Source organism: Homo sapiens, chromosome 2 (assembly GCF_000001405.40).
Source record: "Homo sapiens chromosome 2, GRCh38.p14 Primary Assembly".
NCBI classification, from domain to species: domain Eukaryota; kingdom Metazoa; phylum Chordata; class Mammalia; order Primates; family Hominidae; genus Homo; species Homo sapiens.
Genome location: NC_000002.12, coordinates 212793387 through 212820341, shown reverse-complemented (window position 1 = coordinate 212820341; position 26955 = coordinate 212793387). Strand labels below are relative to the sequence as shown.

The 26955-nt window shown below is 38.1% G+C and overlaps 1 long non-coding RNA gene across 2 annotated transcripts; it reads right to left on the bottom strand.

Moving 5' to 3' along the window:
• Nucleotides 1-1078: 1078 nt before the first annotated feature.
• LINC01878 (long intergenic non-protein coding RNA 1878) lies at nt 1079-25011 on the bottom strand. 2 transcript variants are annotated; one of them, NR_131941.1, is made up of 5 exons: nt 24953-25011; nt 9169-9236; nt 3335-3419; nt 2854-2951; nt 1079-1181 (listed from the first exon to the last, which is right to left on the bottom strand). It is a non-coding gene; the product is annotated as a long intergenic non-protein coding RNA 1878 (long non-coding RNA). The 2 variants fall into 2 exon arrangements; NR_131942.1 differs by lacking the exons at nt 1079-1181; nt 2854-2951; nt 3335-3419; nt 9169-9236 and adding an exon at nt 23622-24331.
• Nucleotides 25012-26955: the final 1944 nt, after the last annotated feature.

Sequence of the window (26955 nt, the reverse complement as noted above, 5' to 3'; positions counted from 1 at the left end):
TTAGCACAGTAAACAATAAAATTAGCTTTGCTTTATCAACAGATTATTTTCGGGCTGGTGTCAGCATTTAAGGATCTGATCACAGAATACTCTTTTCACGTAAACTTATTTACATCCTGGAGAACAAGTGTTTGAAGGAATACACTTGAGGGGATGTAGGCTTACAGGATTGTGCAGGAGGATTCAGTCCCTAAGAAGACCTGGATTCAAGCTATCAAAAATCATCTTTTCAGCCTGGCACAGTGGCTCACGCCTATAATTCCGGCACTTTGGGAGGCCAAGGCGAGCAGATGACAATGTCAGGAGATGGAGACCATCCTATCTAACACGGTGAAACCCCGTCTCTACTAAAAATACAAAAAATTAGCCAGGCTTGGGGGGCACGCGCCTATAGTCCCAGCTACTCAGGAGGCTGAGGCAGGAGAATCGCTTGAACCTGGGAGGCAGAGGTGGCAGTGAACCGAGATTGTGCCACTGCACTTTAGCCTGGGTGACAGAGTGAGACTCCGTCTCAAAAAAAAAAAAAAAAAAAAAAAAGAAAAGAAAAGAAAAAGAAAAAAATCATCTTACCTTCAAATTACATGATATTTCTTAAGGAAAGCATCTCTGTCAACATGTTTGTATACACTAAGAGGAGTTAGTCCTTCCTTCATGTATTTCTTCTATGGATAATTTAATACCAGGTGTTATGGTCTGAATGTTTTCCCCAAAATTCATGCATTGAAACTTAATCGCCAATATGATAAGAGGTGGGGTATTTAGATGCTGTGAAGTCATAAGGGTAGAGCCCTCAGGGATGAGATTGGGGCCCTTATAAAAGAACTTGAGGGAGTGGGTTCATTCTGTCTCACTCTTCTGCTATGTGAGAACACAGTGTTCATCTCTTTTTCTCTTTCCGTCTCTTCCACCATATGAGAACACCTAGACAGTACCATCTATGAGGAACAGGCTCTCACCAGACAGCATACTTGCAGTGCCTTAATCTTCCTAGGCTCCAGAACTGTGAAAAATGAATTTCTATTGTTTATAAATTAGGCGCCTCAGGTATTTTGTTATAGTAACACAAATGAACTAAGACACCAGTATGAAGAATTTTATTTTCAATTTTCTTGAAATGAAATCCAATTTGTCTTTCTTCTGCATTTTTTTTCTTACGAAGGGTGGGTCTCAAAAGTTTGTATCTGGAATTTTAAAGAGAATGGACTGAGATAAAGAACTCTTAAAAGGTCCTCCAGATGGAACTTTAAAATTTCCATTAACTAATGCAATCTAGTACGCCTCATCTCGGTAAGGACAAGTCTTTGTCCCACAGCTGTCTGGGGTTTCTAGGAAAGCTACACAATTTTAGGAATCTCTCAGTAATCTGCTCAGTAGGCTTTATACAGGGAGATGAATCTGGGAGAATATAGCCGATGAGGGATATTCCCTGTGTCTTATACCCTCATCTCTCCAGATAGCATTACCTGTCGTCTGCTGTTTTGTCACCTGCTCATGTCCTCTCCTCTCTGCCATTTCCTTCTCCACTGCACCTCCTACCCCAAGCTGACCCCATCAGGTGAGGTCGGCAGAAAACAGAAGCCTAATTCAAACCATTGCACTATGTTACTGTATCTCATAACTAAAAATATTAACATTAAAAAAGTTAGACATCTTTAACTACCTGAACCTCACATTTTTCATTTGACCGATGACTATTATAGCAACAGTCCTTAGTACCTCAAAGTTTGTTATTGTGACTAGAACATGAAAGAACTAAAAAAGTAAAACTTTAAATGAATGTAAACCATTATTGAGATGTAAGGGTGGTAATAGGTATAGGTACTATTTCACATTAAAGTAAAAGTACAGTAATAGGAAAAATGATGTACTATCCTGGCCACTCTAAATATTTTTACTATATTAATATGGTTTTCAGAAAAATTTTAGTATAAGATAACGGCTGTCATTTTTGCCTATCAGCTCAGCTTTAGTTTTGAGTTTAATTCATTCAGGCTAGAAAACCACGGCAATGATCAAAGATATAATTATAACATATTTATAGCCTATTATTATTGTAACATTCTGAAGCAAAGGGCAAAAATTCCACCCAGTGAACTTGTTCTTCCTGTTACTGACACAAGATTGAGACATTTAAATGCTAAGACATGGATCCCTGAGGCAGAACATAAAATATTTATAATGAAGGGAGTATGAGCCAATAAATTTCAGTTATGAATGTTTTTAGCTAGAAGAAATAATAAATAACTTTCCACAGGCAATATTTCAGTTTGCATTTATTGTACCTCATCATACCAGATTTTCAGGAAACAATAATGATTGCATAGTAGGACACTAAATTACTCTCATGTTTAATGAACGATTAAACTGTTAAGCTTTGATTAAGATACAAGAGCCTCCCTAATTTGACTGTGAGAAGTGGTTTCCTTGGAAAGGTATAGATCGTGATAATACCAATAAAGAGATTTTAATTTATATACTTTCTATTGAATAAAAGTAATTTCAGATATAAGTAAGCCATGTAAAAGGATTACCAAACTCATAGGTTTAGGGAAGAAGGGAAAGGAGAGCATTTAAGTAATAGGGAAATGAATTATGTACTTGGGATGTCTTATCTCTAATCCATTTAAACAGTTTTAAAATTGGGTTGGGAAAATGGCCTAAATTACACACAATGATACATAAAAATTGCTAGGACAAGTCAGGCGCAGTGGCTCTTGCTTGTAAACCTAGCACTTTGGAAGGCCAAGGCAGGAGGATCACTTGAGCTCAAGAGTTTGAGATTAGCCTGAGCAACATAGTGAGCCCTTGTCTCTACAAAAAATTTAAAAGTTAGCTGGGCATGGTTACACGTGCCTGTAGTCCCGGTGACTCCAGAGGCTGAGGTGGGAGGATTGCTTGATCCCAGGAGGTAGAGGCTGAAGTGAGCCATGATTGCATCACTGCACTCCAACCTGGGTGACAGAGAAAGACACTGTTTCAAAAAAATTAAAATTAAGAAAATAAAAATTGCTAGGAGATATTGTGGTACCTGGGAAATAATGCAAGATGAGAGGCAGAAGACTTAAATCAGAGTTCTGCCTTTGTAACTTACTAGCTGTGTGACTCTGTACAAGTCAGTTATCTTGTTAGACTCTCCCGTTTCTTTATTTATGAGACAACAACAAGAAGACATATCTTGCATAGTTGTTGTAAATATGAAGTGAGATATCAGCCTGGGCTCTCCAGGAAGCAGAACCTGAGTGCAAGCTTGTTATCGGCTTTTGTGATCCTGGAAAAAGGTAGGAATGAGGGACAGGGAAACCAGGCCAAGAAGGAGAGAGAGCCAATGACTTGCCAGTAGATGGTGGTTATAAGTGCCACTTTCCCAATCACGAAGAGATTGAGAACTGTCACATGAAATGTCAATCAGGATCATCCATCTAGGGGAATAAAAAGATAATTTATTAACTCTTATTTCCTTCCCGCATTGATCACCCATGCAGTGTGTTATGGGCTGAATTGTTTCTGTCCCCGTCCTTGATTTATATGTTGAAGTCTTAACTTTCAATACCTCAGAATGTAACTCTATAGGGTAACTATGTTGGATATAAGGTCTTTAAAGTGGTGATTAAGTTAACATGAGGCCCTTAGGGTAAGCCCTAATCTAATATGACTGGTGTCCCTATATAAAAAGAGGAAATGTGGACACACAGAGGGACACCATGGGGTTTGTATGCAAGAGGGAAAGACCAGGTGGCCATCTGCAAACTAAGGAGAGAAGCCTCAGAAGAAACCAAACCTGCTGACACCTTAATCTTGGACTTCTCGCCTCCAAAACTGTGAGAAAATACATTTCTGATAGTGAAGCCACCCAGCCTGTGGTCTTTTGTTACGGCAGCCTTAACAAACTGATAGAGGGTGTTAACTTTCCCACACTCTGGGTGGTACATGTGTAAATGGAGAGTGGATTTTATTCCTGGTCCCAAGCTGAGGTGTCAACAGAATAGCCCCAAGTGGGAAATGAGAGGTAGATTCTTGGGGTGAAGTGCTGTCATGCTGCACCTAAGCCCTCACAGATCAGGTGGTCAAGTTGGTGTCTGGAACAGGACAGATACAACTAAGAAAACCTGAAAAGGTGCACAAAAGGTATTAATACAATATACAACAGTATTTTTAAATGGCAAGTTTGTTACTAATAATCAAAACTACCTTTTACTACTTTATGGATTTATGTAGGATTCTTTAGGAATGCTTATGGCTCATGAAAGCGTAATTACATCACTCAATTTCATTTTAAATCATGTACACGTACAACTTTCTGAGACCAGAAAGTTGTACCAAATAGCCACATGTTTATTTCAAAGAGAAAGCAAAATTTAGCGTCTTTATAAAAAAGTAAACAAACTATATATACCTAAAAAGATAAAGCATTAGACAAAATGTAGCATTGCTTTCATTGTTTTTGTATATGTGCCTGCTTCCCTTGAAATCCATAGCACCAGGATTTGGCCTTCAAATTCCATGTACCATGGTCTATTGCAAAGAATCTTGAATTGGACACACTAGAAAGATGAGTGATTTTCTTGGTCAAAGAAGGCGTGCATATGGTTATAAGTTTGGTTACATGAGACCACAAAAGCTTTCTGTTATATTTGTGGAGATGTTGGGAAATATCTCCGTATTTCAGGGGTAGTTAAAGGGTTTGTGGATTGGTGAAGTGAGAAGGACTGAGAGGAAATGTGGTTTCTGTGGGTGCAGAAATGGAGTCAGGAGTCCTGAGTGCTATGACATGAACAAGTGCGGAGGGATGTGCCCACGCAGAAATATCAGCGACTGAAAACTTACCAGTGACAAAGTTTGCATTTCAACAAACTTGGCATCTGACATGCTTCTTATGTACATTCTAGTCTAAGAAGACAACAGGCTGAAATCCCTCCTCAAAGATGGCACTGAGTAGGAAGTCAAACTGGTTTTCATACAGATATTATAAAAATGTTGCTTGCTGAGAAGACTGGTCAGTGTTGGTAAGATGAAATGTGAACACTAAAATTGCAGGCTTTGCAGAAGTCATCATTTAATAACTACCTTATTTACCTAATAACTACCTTATTTACCTAATAGTTGAAAAACGGGAAAATAAGAAAAGACATATGTACTTGCTCACCCACTGTTTAGCTTTGTGTTCATCTCTGGCTGGATGCCATTTCCAGGTGTTTGGCATTGAGCCAAAGACTAAAATTAAACATTTGGTACAGCTCTGGGTGAGACACAGGGGTGATGTAGGAAAGCTTGTTCAATTCTTGGCCCCTGACACTACTATTAGTGCCTCACTTTTCAGGGCTGTCAAGTGTACCCACCCATTTAAAGGAAAATGGAATAAGATAGAAATGTGATTAGAAAAAATCTATTAACCCCCATATATTAAAGCAAAGTCTCCCTTATAGTACACTGTTTACTTAAAAATTTTAAGTACATTTTCATTTCTTTGGAAAAAACACATAGGATGAGTAATGCTTTTATTCTTTTCAGGGGTTGGTCCAAAGCATATTCTAACAGTGCTCATAGGTATATGACATTGTGAAAATAAAATTTGGAAAAGCAAAAACCAGAAATTCAGACATCAAAAAATATATAGGAGTTTTCCTGTAGATGAATTCATCAGGTTGTATAATTTAATTCTCAGTTTTATAGATATGAAAACTCTATTTCGGTAGTACTACAGAGGTGACTACAGATTGGTGCCACAATCAAAGGCACAATAGAATGATATCTAATGTAAGTTAGAATGAATCTGGATTAATTTGTCACTAACATGGAGAGGTCTGCTTGATTTGCTATCCATATATTATAGGACAATAGGGCCTTAGCAAGTGCTTATCTTCTGGATAGGTATACTTCATTGCTTTGAATGCTTTGTTGTGTATTGAGGAAAAACAAAGAAAGGTTGAGAAATGACATAAACATAACATTAAAGAAAAGTGAAAATAGTTCAAAAGTAAAGGATCAGTGGATTTCTAATCGTGGCTGACCATTCCTTCATTTTTGTTATCAGAAAGTAGAGAGTACAGATCTTTGTCAATCAGATAAGTGAAGCCATACTGACTGGCCTCTCTCCACGACTACAGAGACCCCAGGGACAGACCTGACACGGTTTTCTATGCTAACATTCTATAAAAAAGCTGTAAGAGCTCAGCAATAGCCATCAGGTGTATTGGTCATGGGTGGAATGGTCAGAGAAGCATTTGCCCTAGTATAGGTAACTTTTCTTGCATCAGAGATGAAGCCTGGGTACTGCCTACTTACTCTTTTTGATCTCCAATGTTTATAAAATGCCCAATGTCTAGGGTTCAAAGAAAGGAAAAGGGTACAGGAGGATATGCATGTTTAACATTTTGATACCTGTATCACAATTAATGGTGGCTCTGCTTTAAGATCCTCAATATGGACTATGCTTACTTTGGTCTCACACACATTAGAAAGGAAAATTGAAGGGCTGAGAGACATAAATCCTTTCTGTGGATTTATGGCCTAAAATTATAACCAAAGTATGCCCTTTCCCTGGCTTGAGATACCTGGAAAGCAGGAATTTGCAATCATGAAGGTTCCTCAAAGAACAAGGACTTAAGGCAAGGGGAGATGGTTCACCTTGACACAGGTGATGTTTTTGTCTCAGCCATGGGGGAGCCTGATAATGCACTTGACCCAATATGCCCATAGAGTGAGCAGAATTCCCATCCCTAAATTCATCTCTCAAGCTCCATACAGTCATTTTTTTTACTTTATTGATTACTATGTTACCCTCCTATAATCACACCTTCGTTTCTTTCCACACACACAGCCCTCTTCTGCAGCTTTGTTAAAATAATTGATTGAATCTAGTTAAGCCCTTTCTTTTATTTTTTGGGCATGAGCAACATTGGATCGTTCACTATTCTACAGGTTGTCCAAAAGAGTCTGGAATCATTGTCAAACAGTATGTTGGTTATATTTTCAAACAATATATGAAATATGTTTTCTTGCAACCTCCTGACACATTTTCAGATGAAATGTTTTAAAATTTAAAGCATATATCTAAATACTTAGGTATTAGTTTTAAAAAATACAGTAAGTACAGTACTTTCCTTAGGTTTCTAGACTTTTTGGATACTCAGTTCTATATTCATTGTACTTTTCCAGAGTAAAAATTAAACCCATTGCTTGATATATCAACAGATCATAACCAACAATATTTTGAACATATAATTTTGAAAATATAATTACCAAATAATTTAAAAATAGGTTTATCCATGTTTCCCAACTTTTTAGATACCTCGTGATTCTTTTAGACAAACGCTCAGGGTCACACTGTTTAAAGCTTCAAATAGAACAGGACCTAATGGTATTTACTGTCACTTAATCTTAGCTACTGACTGATTTATTACTGAGGCTCTGTCTTTTTTATTTTTTCCATGTCACATAATCAGATTTTTTAGATAGGAATTTCAGAATTCTATTCCCTGAATAAATAATGAATGCTCACAAAGAATCCCAAATGTTCTACCCTTGACTTTGTATAGTTTGCTCCAGAACAATTATTGTAGCATCTAAATCAGCAGGAACTGTTCATTAGAGATGTGAACTCTGGAAAACAAATCCACCATGCCTCACTTGGCAAGGCTGTTGTCAGCCTTGCATGCAGCTTGTCCTTATAATAAATAAAGAAGTAAGTAATAATAATGGCACAGATTAAAGTTATGCCCCACAAAGTTAAAAATATTGCCAACATTACTCACGACATCTGGGTGCAGGGAAAGACTTACTATGACAAGAGAAATTAATAGTAATAATAATCAGAAGAAGAAGAAGAAATAATAATAAGGGGAACAGATAGTATGTAGCATTGAGAACCACTCCAAAAGTATTTTAACACCTCAGCTGAATTCATACTTGCAGCTTCTCTCAAGTGTGATATTAAGTCTTAACCAGAGTCTGGCTAGATCTGTAGGCCTCTAGGGCAAGCCTTGGAGCTTCAGTGACTTGTGCAGGGACAACATGTGGTTGAAAGCCATGGTAATCTCTGTCTGGGAATCAGGGTCAGACAGTCTCCCGAAGCTGGTGAGCTGCTTCTGTTTGAAATCTCCTTTCTGAATGTTCTTGGGCCTGTGATGCTTACCTTCTGAAACCTGAATCCAGGGTCTGACAAGTCCTAACATACTGTAGCTCCTGATACCTACAAAGTCTTTACTCAGTCTAGCCTATTGATTCCCTGAACTTGTTGCCTGAGGCAGAGAGGGAGCTAATTAAAAGAAAATGGAGCTTTGAAAATCTCTCTCAGATGCTGCCACAAACCTTGGGAATTTGAATCACTGCCCTACCTAGGAGCTGACAACAAATCTTTCTCCATGCTGCTGAACTAGGAGTGAGATGCCTTTAAAATGGGGGAAAAAAAAATTACAAACCTCCCTGTTCCCATCTTATTTTCTCTCTAAGATTTTAAATGAAGTAAAAGATATTTTAGAGTCAAAAAAAAAGATATGTGCATGCATGCATGTGTGTGTGTGTGTGTGTGTGTGTGTGTGTGTGTGTGTGTGTGTGTATTTTGGATCACCATAGCATATATTTCCTGGGTATTTATAAATATCAGTTAAATTTTTAAAAAATTCTTTCTGTGCTATAAGGGTGGTTTATTTCATTGTATAGGTAGGAAAAATGAGACAGAGAGAAGTTAGGTAATTTTTCTTAAGTAATCTGAGTCAGCCAGAAAGACAGTTGGATGAGATTACAGTTGGATGAGAGTTGCTGACACTGAAATACATGTGTAAACCACTAGACCACATCGTTATCTTTCTTTTTTGAATTGACTATAACAAAACAGCACTTCTGTGCTTACAAAATCCTTGACTGTTTTTTTCTGAAGCAGTTTCTAGGTAGACAGAACAAATAAATCCTAAAATTGTCACTTACCACCAGCCATAATGACCCATCCCTTCCTTTTTGAACATATCATGACCATCAGAGAGTGGGGAAAATATTTAACACTGAGACCCTAATATTCGTTGTTTACACTTATGGCCATGTTCAGATTGTATCACTTCCAAAAAGCTGCAAAGGCATTTTGCCAGGATGGCTCCTTCTTCTGAGGCAAGGGCCAGAAAGATGAAAATAGACCACAAGGCTATCATTAGATGAAAACAATAGACTGGGACTCACCGTTCAGAAATCCTGAACCTGCTTCCCACATCAGATAATTTGCTAGCTGTCCATGGGAATTCATCATCCTACATTTTGAATAAAATTACAGGTAAAGAAAAATCAGAAGACAGAAGTTTATTCCTGAACAACCAAAATAGGCCTTTTCTAATGACCAAGAATGATTCACATTCAAGATTCAAAACTCAAAATATAGAGTACATGTCTTGGTAGCATAGGGTAGGCCTGTAAAAGTTAACAACTATGGATCAATCCAGGTTCAGACTCTTGTATTCTCATTTTCTCCAGAACTAGAGAGGTGAGAAGCATAAGCTACTATTCCAGATATAGCAGAAAACCAGAACCACCTGGAGGAAATGGGACTTTCATGTAAGATACACCAGTTATCTACAGCTGTGTAACAAATCATCCCCACACTTCCTTTGTGAAAACAAACAAATTTATTATTTATCATGGTTCCATGGGTTGGCAGGGTGGTTTGTCTGCTGATTTGCCTTCTTGGCTCATTCAGGCAGCTGCATTCTACTAGCTAGTCAGCTGGACTGTCCAAGGTGGCCTCATTATCATGTTGGTGTTGGCTGTCAGCTGGGTCACATCAGGTCTCCCTGTCTTCTGCTGCTTCAGTAGAGTAGATTGGCTTCCTTACCTGGAAGTTTTAGGGCAGTTTTCCAACAGGGCAATAATAGTGCTTAAAAGTTCCAAACAGAAACTCTAAATAGTGTTTTTTAAGGAGTCACTTTTAATGAGTACATGACAAAAGACAGGAGAGTATGATGACAATTTTTTAAAAAGTACAATGAATAAAGCTGTTGTTTTAGGGCTACAACTTGTCTCAGTGCTTTTGGGAGAGACTAATTCTGTGGTGATTGAGGTTTTACATTTCCACGCAGTTTCCATTTAAAGAATACTTGAGAAAAACATGCGAAGACCTATACTTTTGTTTTTAGAAACTTCATTGTTGAATTCCAGTTATTGGACTAATGTCATTAGAGAACTTTCAATGTGACCCTTCTGTTTGAGTGATTCAATTCATATCTGTATCAATTTCTTTTTCTAAATCTTGGATTTATGCAACCTAAAACACTGCTGGAAGGAATAAAAATGGTGGTGAAACAAGGAATACAATCTAATATAATGGTTTTGTCAGGGAAAAAAATACAGGTTGTTTCTGTGAGAGTTTCTATGTGTCCATGGTTAGATACATTATTATCTGGGAAAGAGAGTGATGGCCGTGGGGGATGGGGTGCTGGATAACATGGAGAATTGGAAAAAATAGTGCTTGTTTCCAGACCAAACTTCAGGGGTTAGCCTTAGTGAAATGTTGTTTAGTTTTTCTTTATGGGGCAGACAGGCTCTTGTGAAATGAATGAGAATTTAGGACTTTGTTATGCCTTCTTATGGCTTTAAAACTTCCTTTTCTCCAGCATCTCTCCACCTGTGCCCATGGAAGTCTAAGTGGCAATATTATGACCCTCCAGTATGTGTCATCCAGACCAGTGGTCCCCAACCTTTTTGATACCAGGGACTGGTTTCGTTCAATTTTTCCATGGCCAGGGTTGCGGGATGGTTTCAGGATGAAATTATTCCACTTCAGATCATCAGGCATTAGTTAGATTCTCATAAGGAGCGCACAACCTATATCCCTCATGTGCACAGTTGACAATAGGGTTTGCACTCCTATGAGAATCTAATACAACTGCTGATCTGAAGAAGGCAGAGCCAGATGATAATGTTTGCTTGCCTGCCACTCACCTCCTGCTGTGTGGCCCAGTTCCTAACAGGCCACTGACCAGTACTGGTACCATGGCCTGGTGGTTGTGGACCCCGATCTAGATCATGAAGCTCAGGAATGGTCTCAGCTGAGGAATAATATTGGCAGTAAGAAAGTTTGTGCGTGTGTTCTAAGTGTTAAGGTTCTAGCAAGCCTTTACTAATGTCTTCTTCAGCTGAATAATTGTTTGTTATCTAGTTGGAGGAGATGCTAAAGAAAGTGTTAAAGGTCAAAGTTTTCATTCTCTTTCATTTCTTTTAGTTTCCTACTTCTGGAAGGGAAAAAAAGTTTAAATTTTAAGGGTTTTGATGTGGTTAAATAAAGACATGATGTACATATTGGCATGTGCTATCACAATGTGGTGCTGGAGTAGTCATGGAATCAGAATATATTAGAATTTTTTAAAAATCTCGACTACATTCCAGTGTAGATAACCACTGCTTGGTTGGATGGTTTGACTTCCAGTAGTATAATGTTTACTATTGTGAGACAGCTAGTTTCACTGTTGGATAGCACAAATTGTCAAAAGTCATTTTCATATTGAATCCAAATATGCTAATACTTTCATTCGTTGGACCTGCTTTGGCCTAGTGGGTTGAATAAAATGGCTGTATTATAACGATCATCTGTGTAGCACGTATTGTTTTAAATGTTTTACATATGATAATTTATTTAACCCTCACAACCCTGTAAAGTAGATACTTTTATTAAACCCACTTTACAGATGTGAAAACTGAGGCATTGAAATATTACTTTGAATTTCCCAAGGTTGTGTAGCTATTAAAAAGCAGGATTGGTATTTGAACCCAGGCAGCTAGATCCCAAAGCCTTTGCTATTAACAAGTACAGATACATATCAAACTGCTAACAACTGCCAACAGCAATATTTGGTAATTGATATAAGAAACTACACACATCAGCAGCTGTTGCAACCAATAAGCATTTTGTTTTACATTCCCAAGCATCTAATTCTGCAAACTCAGAAAGCAATTAACCATAATCCATTGAGAAAAACACCGAAGTTTTTAATGCTTATTCCTGTAGGTAGCCCTTGAATACTTGAGACAAATACCCTGCATTCCGTAAGACTTCTTTCCAGGCTAAACGTCACTAGTTCTTAATAATATTAATACTTCATGTTCATCTTCAGCCAGAAAATACTTGTTGAGCACATAATTTTCCCCCAGACACTGTACTAGGCACTTCATAAAAATAAAACACCTGCAGATTCATTTCTTGAGCAGCTTATGGGTTTGGGGGGAAAGAAAAATAAGTTTCAATTGTTTTAAAATGTTAGAAAGAATTATAATAGAATTATGCTCAAGGTTCTTTGGGAACAGAGAGACCTCTAAATATTACTGAGGTATTAAGGAAGGATTTCCAGAGACGGTTATACTTTAATTGAGACTTGAAGGATTGGTAGGAATAAGATAGGAGGGAAATACTATAACAGCAGAAGAAACAAATGGGCAAAGCCTTGGCAATATGACAATACGATTTGTGCAGAGAACTGCAATTTAATAAATAAAATAAAATGTACATCTAGCAAGATGGCTGGAGATGAGAAGACAACTGGGTTTTCTATTCTACACTGAGATGGAAGGAAGCCATTGTGATAAGTTTAGTTTGCAAGTGATTTCATTCAACAAATATTTGTTGGGTTTATACTATATTTAAGCTGTGCTAGACATTTGCTATTTGTTGTGAGCAGGATAGAAATCATCCCTGTCTTCTTAATACTTATAGTCAATTGGAAAATGACAAGTGATAACAATAAATGTGGTGCTATGACAAGGGACATATAGAAAGTGATAAGAATACACATTTCCAGAATCTAATTTGTCCTGGGATAAGGATCCCTCTTTCTAAGGAAGTGAAAGTAGTTCATTTGGAAGGTGATTAGGGAAGAGTGGAAAAAAAGATTAAGAAAGTAGGAAACCCAATATGGAATGCATTAATGACCAGGTCACTTATTTGAACAATGGGGGATCAGTCCCACTGTGGAACTCTGGAAGACTGTGTAGAGCATGCCTCGGAATTTTTATATCTGAGGGGTGAAGAAGCCAGGATATTTATCTATCAAATCCAAACTATAATTGATTGAAGATCGTTCTTAAAGATGTCAACTCCACAACATTTCCAGGTTTGCCAGCATGTAGGGTGAGTGTAGGTTTGCAAGCTCCTGTAGCCAGAGAAAGCTCTCATGCAGAGTCACGGTGCTTGCAGTAAAATGTATTCAGGTATAGTGTCCCATACAGAGTCTTTTGTTTTGTCAGTGGCTAGGTGGTTGGTCACAATCTAATAAAATATAATGGGATTGATAATGAGATGAGCTATTATCTCTGTTGCTCTAACTGGTTCCAAGGCCAAATTTGAAACATATCATTTGTGTTTTCTACCAATCATTCTGGATTTCCCTCACCTTGTCAACACTTTCACTGATCTAAATTGTTTGCCTGGTGAGATTACGCAGAACATCATCTTTTCATCCCTAAGTGGTCTGAACTTTTAGTTCTCCCTTCACAGGAAGCTGATGACCAGGTGTACTGTCCAGTTTGCCCTTGCCATCATCTTTCATGGCCACCCATGAGTTGGGCTGTAGTGCAAGAGCAGTCACCTGATTAATGTCTTGCCCCAACATATAGAACAAACCTATCAGGATATAGGAATGCACCATGGGACTATATGTGTGACCTGAAGAAGAAAGGTTGATGACTTGGGGTGAAGAGGGGTCTGGGCCACCTCTTCACATTAACTTATCTGATCTGGACCTTTTAGAACACAATCCCCATTTCCACTGTACTCTGAATTTTTACTGTTTTAGGATAGAAAGGGAAGGATCTGAAGGTGGCTATTTCCTGATGGGCATTTTCAGTTTCATTGTCAATTGATATCTCATGGCCTTGCATTTAGCATCTACCAGGGCCCATGCAACTAGTTTCTACTGGTAGCTTGCCAGAATTTCTCTTTTATTTGTTTTCTTCTGCATATGAGATGGCCTTGCTCAGAAATCTTAGATTCCGCCAAACAGTTTCATTTGCCTTATATATCTCTACCAAAATGAAATTTGATGGGTCAGATGGCCAAATGGCAGATCTTTAATCTGCTGCAGAGTCCTTTCTTTATCTAGTCTTTAACAAATTTGGGAACTGTCAGTATTACCCTATAAATGTGTAAAAACAGTAGTTCCAAGTATAGTATATGCTATATCTAAACTATAAGGAGGTCTATTAAGGGTTATGCTTTTTTTCTTAGTGGCAGAAGGGGCAAGGTATGTGAATTTGTCCTGTAACTTTGAGGGTATATCCAAGCATTCCTCCAGGCAATAAACCTCTAAAACTTTACCAATATGGCAGGATTTTGATTAATTTTTGGGGTTGTCACCAGCGTACATATGGATATTACTAGTGGCACATATATTTGCATTTCTTGCTCTCCAGCAATATCAATATGATGCAGAAGTGCGATGTTTATGAAAATTTTAAGATTATCCAGAACTATATTATGACAGAGGGCAGAAGAATTCCCTTAGCTAGAAGCAAAACTGTAAATATGTACTGATATCCACCCCAGGTAAAAGCAAACTGCTCTTAGTCCCTCTTTTTTTGATGGAGATGGAAAAGAATGCTATCTCTAGATGAGTAATCTCATATTAAGTTCTAGAGCCCATGCTGATCTGTTTTAGTTAAGACACTTCATCTGACTAAATGTCTGCAGTTCAGTCTTTTACCTTCAGACCTTCTTACGTCCATCTGGTTGTGTAGGCTAATGCCAGTGAATTAAATGGAGATAAGGTGAGCACCATTATGTCTGCATTGTTTAATCTTTGAGAGTGCTACAATTCTTTGCTATTCTGTCCAGAATGTAATATTGCTTTTAATTTACTATCTTGACCTGGGGCATGAATAGTTTCAAGCGTTTTCACTAGGCCTTTATTATCCAAAATGGCTCTAACTCCATATGTCAGGGAACTATTGTGAGGATTCTGCCAGCAAGCAAATATATCCAAAAAGATTATGCACACAAGGTTCTAGTAAATGATCACAGGGTCAATGGGCTCACAGTGAGATGGACTTTGACCAGGACTTATTTATTGCCTGACCTCTGTATGCTTTCACTTTAACAGGGGACCATGAAGGCATGTTGGGTCCTGTATTAGTCTATTTTCATGCTGCTAATAAAGACATACTCAAGATTGGATAATTTATAAAGGAAAGGGGTTTAATTCAGCATGGCTGGAAAGGCCTCAGGAAACTTACAATCATGGTGAGAAGGGAAGCAAACACGTCCTTCTTCCCATGGCAGCATCAAGGAGAAGGGCCAAGCAAAAGGGGAAAATCCCCTTATGAAACTGTCAGATCTTGTGAGAACTCACTATCACGAGAACAGTATGAGGGTAACCACCCCCATGATTCAATTATCTCCCACTGGGTTCCTCCTGTGAAACATGGGGATTATGGGAACTACAATTCAAGATGAGATTTGGGTGGGGACCCAGGAAAACCATGTCAGGTTACCTCTTATCAGTATCAGTTTAGACCTTGTATTCAGTGGCTCTCATAAAATTTAAGTATTTTCCTTTCCCAAACTTATAGAGACTTTAGTAAATGGCCTTAGGTCATTGTGAGAAAGAATTAGGGTGATGGCTATGGTATATATTTGCTGTAACCTTCTGGAGTCCTTCTTAAGTGCAACAATCATGTCATTCATTTAAGGAGTCCTGTGTCTGAAAACTGACTCAATCATAGAAACTGCATGAGAGATTATAATCTTCCATTGCAGTAATTGACATTAGCTTTTCCCTTACCAGTTCTAGATCTTTTTGTTGTTGTTGTGATCATGTTACATACTCATTGGCTAACCATTAATGTCCTCCCTAGAAACACCAATAATCGATTTGCCATTACCTCAAATATCTGTAGGTCAAGCCCCATGGTTGTTGATATGATTTGACTCCGTGTCCCCACCCAAATCTCATCTTGTAGCACCCATAATTCCCACATGTTGTCAGAGGGGCCCAGTGGGAGATAATTGAATTGAATCATGGGGGTGGGTCTTTTTTGTGCTGTTCTGTGATAGTGAATACATCTCACAACATCTGATGGCTTTAAAAATGGGAGTTTACCTGCACAAGCTCTCTCTTTGCCTGCCACCATCCCTGTAAGATGTAACTTTCCCCTCCTTGCCTTCCCCCGTGATTGTGAGGCTTCCCTAGCCATGTGAAACTGTGAGTTTTCCATTAAACATCTTTCATTTGTAAATTGCCCAGTCCTGGGTATGTCTTTATCAGCAGCATGAAAACAGCCTTGATGTTATTCACTGTAACTGTCAATATCTGACTTGCTATTACAGAATCCTAATGTCTCCATGGACACTCAGTCCAGATCCATTGCAATATCTCCTTCCTTTGTAAACACTGTGCAATAGAGAACAGCCATCCGTGAGCTTTTCAATGATGCTGCTGCCCCATTCACTACCGCATTTCCTATTCACTACTGTTTCAATGAAAAGAGTGTCTTCTGCTCTACTTCTGCCCTCAGAGGGGAACACAGAAAACTGCTGGGCTTTCTCATGTTATGCAGTAAATTCATCCCAGCATACGCACATCTTTAAGACCTTTGACATCCTCCTCAGTACTTTATCAAGACTGTTTTAGCAACTCTACTTCATTTACTATAGGCCATTGTTATTTCTTAGCTTCAAACAGACATTGTGGTGCAATATTTACACTGTCTCCAGGCACTCTTATCAGGATATTAAACTAGAGGCACAGAAGAGGTCTCTATTATTCAGCTTATCCTTCCCCCAATTCCCATCATTACCCTCAATATCCATCCCAGGTATATTCTCCTAGTTCCTGCTTTAGCCAGATCCTCCCATTCTTTTGGTGAATACTTGCTTTGCTCCTGTGGTAGGAACAGTATTTCCCTGCTCTGATGATACTGAGATGTGACCCTAATTGCTTGTCCAGAAACGGTGAGTTGAGGCAAATACAGCTCCTGAGAAATGAGCATTCTCTTGCAAATCCTTTGCCTTACAGCAGGGGAGAGTTTTTCATAGACTTCAGGCAATAGGAGCCTGCCCTCCTATAACAAGTGAAGTCACTTTTGGCATCCGACAGGATTCTAGAGGTTCAAAATTCTCAAACATATTTACTCAGATGTCTGCATCCTACATCATATAATCTAATTCCTTTCCTGACAGAGGCTTTTAATTCAGCCTCCTTCGTAACTCTTTCACCCCTCCAATCAAATTTTGGGGCTGATTTAAAGCAATGTGTGCTCCCTGGCAACAAGTGATAAAGATTTTTTTTTTAATATTGCCATGAAGACATTCTGACTGTCACCCCCAGTCCTGTTGACAATTGTTGACCTAAGAGTGTCATTTTCTTCCGTCGGGGGTTTAATGGCTGTTAACCATACCCAACCAATTTCACAGACTTTAAGATCATGTGTTGCCTTCTTACTTCTACCTGATCCCAGTTCATCAAAGATGAAATCTAAGAATTTGCTTAGTAATAGTGATGCTATTACCTACAGCATGCTACAACTTATCACCAGCCCATGTGTTACCAGCAATGGGACCTGTTGCTATCCGACTGGTGAATAATCAGTTCAAAAATACAGTCCGAAGTTTTGTTTTTTAGGTCTATTTTAGCACTAATTGTCTTAAGTTCAGTTCTTTCAAAAGCAGAACTTGAGATAAAAGATTTGAGTGAAAGCAGTTTGAGAGGTGGGTCTGCAAAAACTTTTGTAGGTAAGGGAGGAAGAAAGACAGAAGATAACAAAGTCAACACAGGGTACATTAACAGAGAAAATTACAACTTAGGAAACTAGTACCTAACCCCACCAGAGACCTCTGAAAGACTGTGCAGAGCATTCTTCAAAATTGTTCCCCTCAAAGTGTGAGGAAACTGGAAGTTTATTTACAAATTCCCATTCATGGTTTGTCAATTGCTGCTCCTGAGTATGCTAACCCCCCAGCATGTCTGGCCTGCCCTACATGCTAGCCAGGCATACTCTCGTAACTAGAGAAGGTGATCGGGCATAGTCACAGGTGTTTACACTATGACTATGTCAGCCTGTACAGAAATGGTGAAAACTGACCAGACATGGAAGAGGAGCGAGCATCTGCTATAATGCATCAAATGTTAGTAGCAGTATGGGGAAAGATGAGACAGAATAGGTAAATATTAATAATTACACAAGGCCAGTTATAAACTATTTTAAAAATGGATACTATTTTTATGTTTTTTAAGAACACAAGTGTTTTCTTCTCCTTTTTCTGGAATCAAGTATATTCCAACTAGGACAAAGAAAAGAGACAGACACTCTTAAAATAATAAAAGATAATGGAAGTCCACAGCACTGTGAAAATTCTGACGATCTTGCAGGTACCATTCAAGGAGAGTTGGCCAGTGTGAGATTGCTTTTCCCTGTATCTCTTCTCCATCTCCATCTAGAAAAAACTTAACAGAACTGACAACTAACATGAGAAGAGGTATGACCCTGGGAATGAGGAAAAAGGGGCAAAAAAAAACTTGTTAAGGGAAAAGAGGACACAATATTCAAGAGCTAAACATTCTTGAGGCTGGCTATTTTGACGGTGAAGAGGTTAGTAGAATGGAATAAAGGGGCTGCTCTTGAATTTCCATACCTCCCTTGTGGACCTTCTAATACTTTCGAGTAACTACAACTTTAGCCTGAAGTAAAAGATTGTTTTATAAAGGCTCCTGGATCCTTTTGTGTTCTTGACCCAGAAAAATAAGAGCTTTGGGGATCATGAAGTCTACTCCTCCTTCCCACCCCCATTTTACTTCATATTAGGGAAGTAGTACTGAGGTTACCAAGGGATTCTAACAGGGGACATGAACATATTTGCATGTCTGGAAAATGACTCCTTGCTACCATGCCTTGTGAAACTATGTTAAAAAAAGAAAGAAAAAATGGGGAAAGGGAAATTCATCAGAAGGCTGTCACTATAGATCAGGCAAGGACGTATAATGGTTTGATTTAGGATGGTGGCATGAGGACAAAAGTAAGGGTGGCGTTTTGAGATATATTTGGGAGGTGGTGACTCAATGATTGATTTAATTTAAAGCAAATAGGAGGAAATAATGGCTCCTTTGGCAACTGGGTAGATACTAGTGCTATTTCATGAGATATTACGTAATTTGAGGAAGAGAAGGATAATTGGAGATAGATGCATATAATGAATTTAGTTTTGAGTTCAAAGTGTTTAGGACACATTCAAATGGAGATGTCTAGTAGGAGTTAGATGCGGAGCTCAAGATATGAGTTTGGCTGGAGACAGAGTTTTGGTAGGAATTATAAGATAGAAAGTACTTGGAGTCATGTAAGAGCACAAGATGGCTTGGAAGTAAAATGTAGTGGGAGGAGTAGGAGACCTAACTTGGAGGTTACTAGGGATTAGGTCAAGCAATGAGCAGCCAAGATTTGCATGTTTTGTCTTGAAACACTACAACAAATAAATATTATTTGGTAAAGAATTTAGAATTTCCAAAATATTTGGTTGTGGAAAGAGATATTCAGAGATCATAGCTGAAGGCCAAGAAGGGATTTCAAATGTGGTTATTTGGCTGAAGGAAAAAGGAGTTGAGGTAAGAATTCATACTCTGGTGGTAGCTGGGTGGGCTAAGAACTAACTAAAGTAACAACTGGTGGGTGGCAAAGCATTCGCCTTAATCTACAGGTGGCAGCTCAGTGGAAATTCTGCGTTGGTAACTGCAGGAGGATTGGCGACCATCTCTGAGTAGAGTAATGGGCTTGGCACTGTGGCCTGGAGCAGTGTGAGCGTTGAGAAGTGTAGGAATATTGTATACATGAGGATAGCACCCTACCTGTCTTATGATGAGATTTGCATTTTATAAAGATTACTCTGAAAGGTGCAGATGATAGATTCTGGAGGTACAGCCTGGCTCCAGGGGGACAATTTAAAAGGCTACTGCAAATGCCCAACAGAAAAATAATGGGTCCTTGAACTAAGGCAGCAGCAGAGGGAGTGAAGAGGAATCTGCACACATGAGAGATACTCATATAAATTAATCTCTATGACAAACTGGCTGATGAGATGCAGAGGATGAAGGGCAGTGATGGCAAGGGAGGAGTGTAGGATGGCTTTCTATTTCTGACTTGCTGACCAAGTAGAGGGTGGTGTCAACATCTGGGGTAAGTCATGAAGCAAGAGGAGCAGATTTTGGAAGGAGGGGGAGTAGAAGAAAGATTCTCTTTTAAAGTTGTTGATTTTGAGATGCCCTTAGGAAATCTTGCCAACAATGCCAAGTAGTCATTTGGCTCCAGAGATCTAGTATTATAGCTGGAGACATGGGTTTGAGTTAATGGATGTATGAATCGTTAGAATATAGATGTCTACTAAACAATGGTTATGGGAAGGACACTGGGTAAGACTAAGTATATGAGAAGAGGAGTGGTTGAAGATGGAGCACTGGGTCACATCAGCATTATGGGGACAGATGGAGGAGGCAATGAAAGCTAGAGAGATCAGAGCAAAAGGTAAAAGGAAAGTCAAGAGAGTAATGTCACAGATGAAATGAAAGACAGTTTCAAGAAGGGAAGAGTTGTCTAGATTCTCAAATACTGCCAAAAAAAATCACGAAATTGCTCACTGACTTTGATAACATGAAGCTCAGTCATGACCTGAAGCAGAACAAATTTTGAGGAGAACTGCAACACAATTAAAAATGCGTGGATTGAAAAGTGATAGGAGGACCATATCGTGCTCAGAAATCAATTGGAGATGTATTAAGGGATTAAATGTGAAATCTTTAAAACTTTTAGAAAAAAAATATAGGAGACTATCTCAGGTGTTTTGAGTAATGAAGAACTCCTTCAAAAAAGAAACGAATAGTGTTAACATAGAACAAAAGTCTTAAATTTAACTACTTTGGATTGGAAAGCTTCTGTTCATCAAAAGGTATATAAATAAAGTTAAAAGTTTCCAAGTAACTGAGACAAAATTTGCAACACATTTAACCAATAAAGGGTTAGTTTCACAAACACACACACACACACATTTTTAAAACCCTTATAAATCATTAAGAAAAACAAGTAACAAAATAGAAAAATAAACAAATAACATGAATACACATAAAACCAAATGAGTAATAAGTGGGGAAGAAAAGGTATTTAACCTCTTTAATAATCAGAAAAATGTAGATTAAAAGCATAATCGAATATAATTTTATAGCCACAAAAATCAAGAAATCTGACTATATCAAGTGTAGAGAAAGATGAGGAACTATGTTAAAGTTTATACACTGCCGGTGGGGTGACAAATTTGTACAATAACTTCAGAAGACAATTTGACATTTCCTTGAAAAGTTGGGCATTTGCATTTCTTTCTTTTATTTTTTGTTCTTTCTCTTTCTTTCTTTCTTTCTTTCTTTCTTTTCTTTCTTTCTTTCTTTCTTTCTTTCTTTCTTTCTTTCTTTCTTTCTTTCTTTCTTTCTCTTTCTTTCTTTCTTTCTTTTCTTTCTTTCTTTTTTTTGAGACAGACTCTCGCTTTGTCACCCAGGCTGGAGTGCAACAGCATGATCTCTGCTCACTGTAACCTCCACCTCCCGGGTTCAAGCAATTCTCCTGCCTCAGCCTCCTGAGTACCTGGGATTACAGGTGGCCACCACCACGCCTGGCTAATTTTTTTGTTTTTAGCAGAGATGGGATTTCTCCATGTTGGCCAGGCTGGTTTTGAATGCCTGACCTCAGGTGATCCACCCACCTCGGCCTCCCAGAGTGCTGGGATTACAGGCGTGAGCCACCGTGCCCGGCCTGCATTTCTTATAATGAAAAAATTGCAGTTTTCAATATATACTCTAGTTTGTGGTATTTCCAAACTGATAATTTCCTTTTATATGTACCTAATGTTGTAATACATTTTTCAGTGAATAGGAGGATTGTCGACCAATGTAGACTATGCCTTTTAAATGCTTAAGTATGAAGGGAAAGAAATAGATAACTTGTGGGTTTCTAGTTGTATTTCTCTGGTCTTTCTTGAACATATTCCTTTTCAACCATGACCCCAGAATTGGTACATGGCTCTCTTGCTCCCAGTTTGTTTTCAATCTTGTATAGTGTTCACTGTCAATGCAGTCAGTAATTACCTTGGCTTTCTGAGCAGCCCCTTCCTATTTGTCTCATATTGAATTTGCGGTCAGTTTTTGGGCCAGCCTGAGAATCTGATCAGCATAGAAAGCGTAGTTTCTATGGATAACAGGAATTCTGGACTTTCATAGCAACTGATAATTGCAATAATAGAATAGCGAGTAGTGAGGCCCAATTTACTGATTTCTAGAGCTTTCTGACATTCCTGGAAAATGACTCAGTTTATTTAAGGCCTTATGGAATTAGAAAAATAATCCTAGATAAGGATGATGCTGTTATCTATAGAACTTTATAGGCAGCATTCCAAGTGTTTCTCAGATGTTACAGCTGTCTGGAAGAGACTCCACAAAGAGTATTGCCAACATTATTTTTTATTTTTAGTAAATAAAATTCAGTATGGGCCGAATCAATGTCCCATTAAAAACACTTTGAGAATTGGGTCTGAGTCATCTTGGTTTTTTCTTCTCTAATTCATTTGTTTTCTAGACAGGGTGATTGAGTGGTTTCTTGATTGAGTGATTTCCAAACTTGACTCAAACCAACTATCATATGCTAAGCCTGTAGCTTGATTCTATCAAGTACAGTGAGCAAAGTGCGCACAGCTCTAGAGATGGGAATCCTTCAAAGCTCATCATCATCAAAAGGCTCAGGTTGAATCTATAGCCATCCATGGCACTATGCTATGTTAGTAGTGTGCAGTTTCAGAAAGGCTGCTGATTCTTCAGAGTAGGTAATGAGTAAATATCCTAAGGAAAAATAACTTCAAGAACACGTTACAGAATATGCAGTCTGAAGTTTCCACCGTTTGTGTTCACTGAAATTTTTATTATTTTCCTTTCATGTATGCTGCATATTTCAATGCATAAAAGGCTTTTGTATATACTTTGACTTTAGAATTAATCTGTGAGATAAGCAAAAGGCTAAATTATCACTCCCATTTTAAAGATAAAAAGATTGAGATTTAGAGGCAGTAAATGACTTGCACAAAGTTACAGACATAATGAATAATGGAGAAGGGGCTTGATGTCAGCTACATCTTTTGATTCCAAGTTTAATGTTTTCTCAATTATACAACACTACAGAGTTGTCCACCAGATATGGTAAAATGCAGTAAGATGACCATGTTCTTAAATTCTAACTAAATTTGTTTTCCTTTCTTTCTCCATGTAGCTGTGTTTACGTAGCTGGTCATTAATTCCAAATGACGGTTATCATAAATTTAATGACATAAAGTTATTATATTTAGCTTTTTAAAAGTAACTCATAAGAAGATCACTTATATATTTAGCTCTGAGCTATTTTTTGAATTGCAGGTTAAGTTTTCTATGCTCAATGGCAGGTGTATTACAAAATTTCATTTCTGCAATCTCTTATAGTCCTAAAATTCTATGATATGATTTTTAAAACTTGACTGTATATTTTGCACTAGCAGCATTAATATAAATAAAGCACATTTGTTACATGACTAAGCTGTATTGGTATTTGTTAAATGTTGTACAATTTGTGAATAGGTACTATTATTGCCTTTTACAAATACTAATACAGAATTTAGGATCTGAGTAATCTTAGTTCACCAAACTAATAAATGTGCTAAGGTTTGAACAATCTGCCTTATTTTGCAATTTTTACTCATACCCCCATGTTCTACTGAAGTACTTTGAAATTCATAAAAGTTTGAAGTCTGGGAAACAGGTATCAGTCAAAACTAGATGCAATGCTTGATGATGCATATGAAAATTTTGGGTCAAGACTTCTGACCTCATGGGGGAAAATTCAGGCTTTTTGGGTTGTACTCCTCTTTAAATGGAGATCAAATATGAACTTCATAAGGTGGTTATAAAAATTAAGCCAAATAATGGATGCAAAATATTTGTTATGTAGTATGACCTCAATAAAGTCAGTTTTTCTCAGCCTTTTCTTTTACAGTATGTCACTTAGAATCTTTTTTAAGAAACAGAAAGCCCAATGAAACATATTTGAGAAAACAACTTATATAACAAGAAAACCAAAGGTAGGCAATTCTGGGTACCACTAACTAACACAGTGGTTTGACAATATTCCATGCACCCAGGTTCTCTCCTTTTTGCTCGGCAGCTCTGTCTTGTTCTTTCATGGTTGCTGGATGAGTCCATTTGCCAGGTATTCCATGTAGACACAGCTATATCCAGTAGAAAAAGTGGAAATCTTTCTTCCAGGACTTCAGACTGCCATCAGATAAGAATTTTGAAACATCCTTTTCCAGAACCAATTACTGTCCAGGGAAATAGAATTTACATAACTAGCTTTGACTAAGTAAATTCCCCTCCCAGGGTGGGAAGGGGCTGACCATCCCTTAAAGTATATTGTCACTGGAGATCTGAACAGAATTGGGGTTATATTAACCAGGAAGAAGAAGGTGGGAAATGGCTGCGACGTAGGCAGTTATAAGTGTATAATACCATACCTAAGAAGAAAGTGAAGTGTGAGGCAAAAACCTCATTTCTAGAGAGTTCAACAAGAATTCTCAGAAATGAATCAAATTGAGAACTTGAAATAGAATAATTGGAATGAATTGAGGCTTAAGTCAAGGGCTTGGCCACAAGGGATAGAGCCAGAACCCAAGAACTAGGACCTGTAACAAAGTCAGCAAGTAGCAGAAAGCAATGAGGGTGACTTGAGGCTCTGACACTAGCCTAGAGCTTTTGGCATTTTCTTTGGACAAAGAATTAGTCGAAGAATCTAGGGTGATAACTGAGCATATAGATAGGATCCAAAATGGACCCAGCACTCAGCTCTCTCAGCTATGCCTTCAATCTGTTTTCTTCTACTGGTTCCTTCCTTTCAGACAGTGAATATGCTCCTTTCTCCAACCCTTAAAAAAATCTTTCTTTACCTTATTTCAGTAGAATTCTTTTCTTGACTGCCCCTATCAATATCCTGGCTGCTCATACCCGCATTTCTACTTAGAATCCAGATTTTCATTATCCATACTGCCTCACAATGTACTTTATCTACCTTCACAACTCTGTCATAGTTGCTCTGTGAGGTAATTAATGTTATCCTAATTGTCAATGCCAATGGTCACTTTCAGGCCTTTTTCATATTCAACTTCTTTGTTGAGCAAGTTCTCTCAACCTTATTTAATATACTTTATAAGGGAAAAATCCACAACCCTTTGGCTTCCATGACAAAGCTCTCTATGGCTCTTTCTGAGCTTTTCAGACGAACCTTTCTCTATGCCTTTGTGAGCCCCCCTTCCTTAGCTCACCCTGTGATGTTTCTGAAGTGTCTGATCCTAAATCCACTTAAAAATTGTTTTTTACTTAATGTGATATAGAAAACCGTGTGTTAAAGTTAATAGAGCAAGATAAGGGGATAGAACTAAATTGTTGAAGCAAGAAAAGCTATCCTTCCCCCCAACTTTTATTTTATTTTGCCAATGTAGAAATGACTGTCTTATCTTGTGTCAGCCCAGCATCTATCATTTTATAATGAGTGCCAACTTAAATCAATTGAAACTCATCAAACTCCTGTGGTAGTGTGGTGATGTAACATGCAGGAGTAGTAGGCCAGAAGGCTTCTCTTTGTTAAAACAAAAAATGAAACAAGCAATGATTGTTGGCTGTCAACCTGACATGTTCTGGCACCAAACCAAACCAACCCTGGGGCCTTTAGAGGATTTCAAGGCTGTGAAAACTGTCTTAATTATAATATGCTGTGCTTCCACAGATATGTTTTTAAGAGGATCTCATGTAGCTTAATCCACAATCTCATGATTAGCTCCTGCATTGTTATGTAGTATAGAAGAGTCAACATTAGGGCAGAGTGACAAAATAAGGTTATCTAACATACTCAGAAGCAAACAATGCTAGCAAAAATGAGAAAAAAAAATCTGCATTCTTCACTCTAACTGTGGTGCAGTAGTGGAGTAATCATTTCTTTCCCTTAACCCTCCTACCTACTCATCCCTGACCCCAACACTAGGTTATAAAATAGGCATTTCATGTGTCAGATGATAGCATTTAATGCTTTGCTTTGTGAAAAATTACTCAGAAAAATTTAACTGAAAAAGTTCTTGGTTATAGAGGAAATAATTACTATTCAGTTCATGCTGGATTATGGATGATTTCTAAGTGAGAAGACATTTATATACAAAGATGCTCGCATGCTTTTGGGGGAGAAACTTTAAGCAGGGAAATAAGGCAAATACTATATATATATATAGAGAGAGAGACAGAGGCAGCAATATTCATTCTATATATATTTTTGAGACAAAGTTTTGCCCTTTGTTTCCCAGGTTGGTGTGCAATGTTGTGATATCGGCTCACTGTAGCCTCTGCCTCCTGTGTTCAAGCAATTTTCACGTCTCAGCATCCTGAGTAGCCGGGATTACAGGTGCCCGCTACCACGCCCAGCTAATTTTTTTGTATTTTTAGTAGAGATGGGGTTTCACCATGTTGGCCAGGGGGTTCTTGAACTCCTGACCTCAGGTGATCCACCTGCCTTGGCCTCCCAAAGTGCTGGTATTACAGGCATGAGCCACCATGCCCAGCCAAGGCAAATACATTATATATTTAAGAACATAATGGTTATGAAAGTTAATGGTGAGTGTTAAGTAAAAGTTTGTAGCTCTCTGCCTGTTATAACTATTGACAAAAATGTCTTTATAATGTGGATTAATTTTGCAAAGCAGTCAAGGTTACCTTCACCAAGAAGGACATTTGAACTGGCATATGAGATACCCTGTTCTTGCCCTAGGATCATTCACATATTCAGTTTATTTCTGTTTGGGTTTTTTGTTTATACCATACAAATATGACTTTTTAAATTTTTATTTTATTTTATTTTTGTTTTCTCACTCTACATCCTATCCAGCACTCCATCCTGCCCATACTA